This window comes from Homo sapiens, chromosome 2 (genome assembly GCF_000001405.40).
Source record: "Homo sapiens chromosome 2, GRCh38.p14 Primary Assembly".
Classification (NCBI taxonomy): domain Eukaryota; kingdom Metazoa; phylum Chordata; class Mammalia; order Primates; family Hominidae; genus Homo; species Homo sapiens.
The window spans coordinates 37416405-37418689 of record NC_000002.12 but is presented as its reverse complement, the minus strand read 5'-3'; the positions used below and the strand labels follow the sequence as shown (position 1 = coordinate 37418689).

General features: G+C 41.9%; 1 annotated feature.

Moving 5' to 3' along the window:
• Positions 373-1963: an enhancer, noted in NCBI's record as "VISTA enhancer hs1480". NCBI's record gives its function as "enhancer in: limb[3/6]" and the evidence as "EXISTENCE:transgenic organism evidence [ECO:0001131][PMID:17130149]".

Here is a 2285-nt window from a genome sequence, read left to right as displayed (position 1 = left end):
AAAAGTGCTGGGATTACAGGCATGATTGACCATGGCCAGCCTCCACATTTTTAAATAGTTAAGTCCCCATATGTACATTTAACACAAGTCTTCCTGGCTGGACCAATACTGTCTTCCCTCTTAGAGTGAGTCTTCCCTCTGAAAAACCCCCTGGGATTCCATCCTGGGGGGATTCCCCTGGGATTCGTCCAGCCTACATGTGTTTTTGCACATGTCTAGCAGAGGGAAGAATCCACGGGGAGAGCAAAATCCACTGCTTTTCTCAACCATTCCCAAAAGGTGCTCTCTCTCACCACTCATTCACTATCACTCCTGTCCTGGTCGGACCAAAGGAACAGAAAATACAATGCATATCAAGAGCCTGTGACCCCCACCTTCCTTCCTTCCCAGACCCTCCTTAAGTAGCTTAACAAATTAGTTAATGAGAGAACATCTGCAAAACCCACTAGGTTTGGAATGAAAGGCCCATCAAGGCAAGATGTTAGTGGTGGTCCTGTCTTCAGAAGGTGACTTTCCCATTCTTCTCAATGTCCCTGTCACCCATGCTATTGACACCCCAGGAGTCTATCCTCAGGCTCAGAGACGTCCTCCTAGCAATGACCCATTCCCTTGGCAACACCTTGACTCAGGTTTGTCACCAACTCCAACAAAAGTAGAAACTCAGTACCTGCCAGAGTCATAATGTTAAGAAGCTGATATTTGGGTAACGCTTATTGTTTTATTAAAGACTTTCATATCCGATTTACTGACTGTGAGTTTCAGGCCAATGGCACATTTAGGCCACATCAATATGAATCAATTTGACTGGATTCAGAATAGTATATGTACAGATAATTCAATCAGATAACTGCATTTTTTTTATTAACATGACACTAGTGATGAATTCTTTCTACTCTTCAATCAGATGCTTTGACACATATAGTCATAGATTAAATTACCATTCTGTTTTTCTGCTTTATAAGAGCTGGGTTAGGGAAAAAAAAAAAAACTGTCTTGGCACAATTTTTTAAATGGTATTTTCAAATCACAGAGGGGATTTACCATTTCCTCACAAGCTAAAATGCCTTTAGGATGTGTGTTTAACTGCATTCTCACCCCATCGTGTGCTGCACAGGACTTACAAGCCCCAGTGGAGAATCTGGGGCCAGTTTTATCATTAAATAAACTCTGGAATGCCCCAGGCAGGGTCGTTAACTTGTCTCCACTACAGACTATATGTCCAAATAGCCACCTCCCTTCTGTGGGTTCCCACAGGGCGCTGGGTGTGCTCCATAGCCCGACCCCCTGACATAAGGGGACAATTGGGCCATTATATTTGGACCAAGATCAAGCAGCCAGCTCAGTTCAGCTCTGTACACAGGGATGAAAAAAAAGAGCACCAAATATAGACCACTGGACAATTTATTTGTCTTAAGAGTGTTTAAGACACACAAGCAAACCCCGGCAGGCTATCAATGGTCAGCTTTGTGCAATAACCACGCAAACCTAAAGAGTATTCTATGTGGATACCATTTAAAAACTGTATGGTGGGTCACACCACATAGGTGGCCTTGGCAAGGGTCTCACTCTTTGCATCCGTAACAACCCTGGAGACTAAGAACCCACCCCAACACCCTTATCCACATTGTGTTTTTAAAGATTTGTATCATTGTCTTGCTCAAAATATCAGTTTGAAATCCCCATTTTTTCCCAAAAATAAAATATTAGAATGAATGAGACTCTCAAAACTTCCAAAAACTCTTCTTATCCAAATCTCTAATTTTTAGAAGAGGAAACTAGCATCAGCAAAGTTTATACTCACCAGTTAAGCCAGCTTTATTAGAATTCTATTAGGTTGGTACAAAATTAATTGCAGTCTTTGCCATTACTTTTAATCAACTATCAACTATCAACTCACTGTCCAATATTTTTTTAGCCTAGGTTACAATAAGAAATCAGCAAAACTGTTGACTGCCACTGAAGCACATACCTGTGTGCTCACAAGCCCGTCAGAAAACAGAAAAAGAAAAAGAAAAAAAAAAAACAAAGGAAGAAAGAAGGAAGGGAGAGAGGGAAAGACTTAAAGCCTGGTTTTCTCATTCATCATTTATAGCAGTGGTCCCCAACCTTTTCGGCCCCAGGGACTGGTTTTATAGAAGACAATTTTTCCACAAAGGGAGGGTGGGTATGGTTTTGGGATGAAACTGTTCCATCTCAGATCATCAGGCATTGGATTCTCATACAGAGCACACAATCTAGGTCCCTCGCATGCGCAGTTCACGATAAGGTTCCCCCTCCTGTGAGAA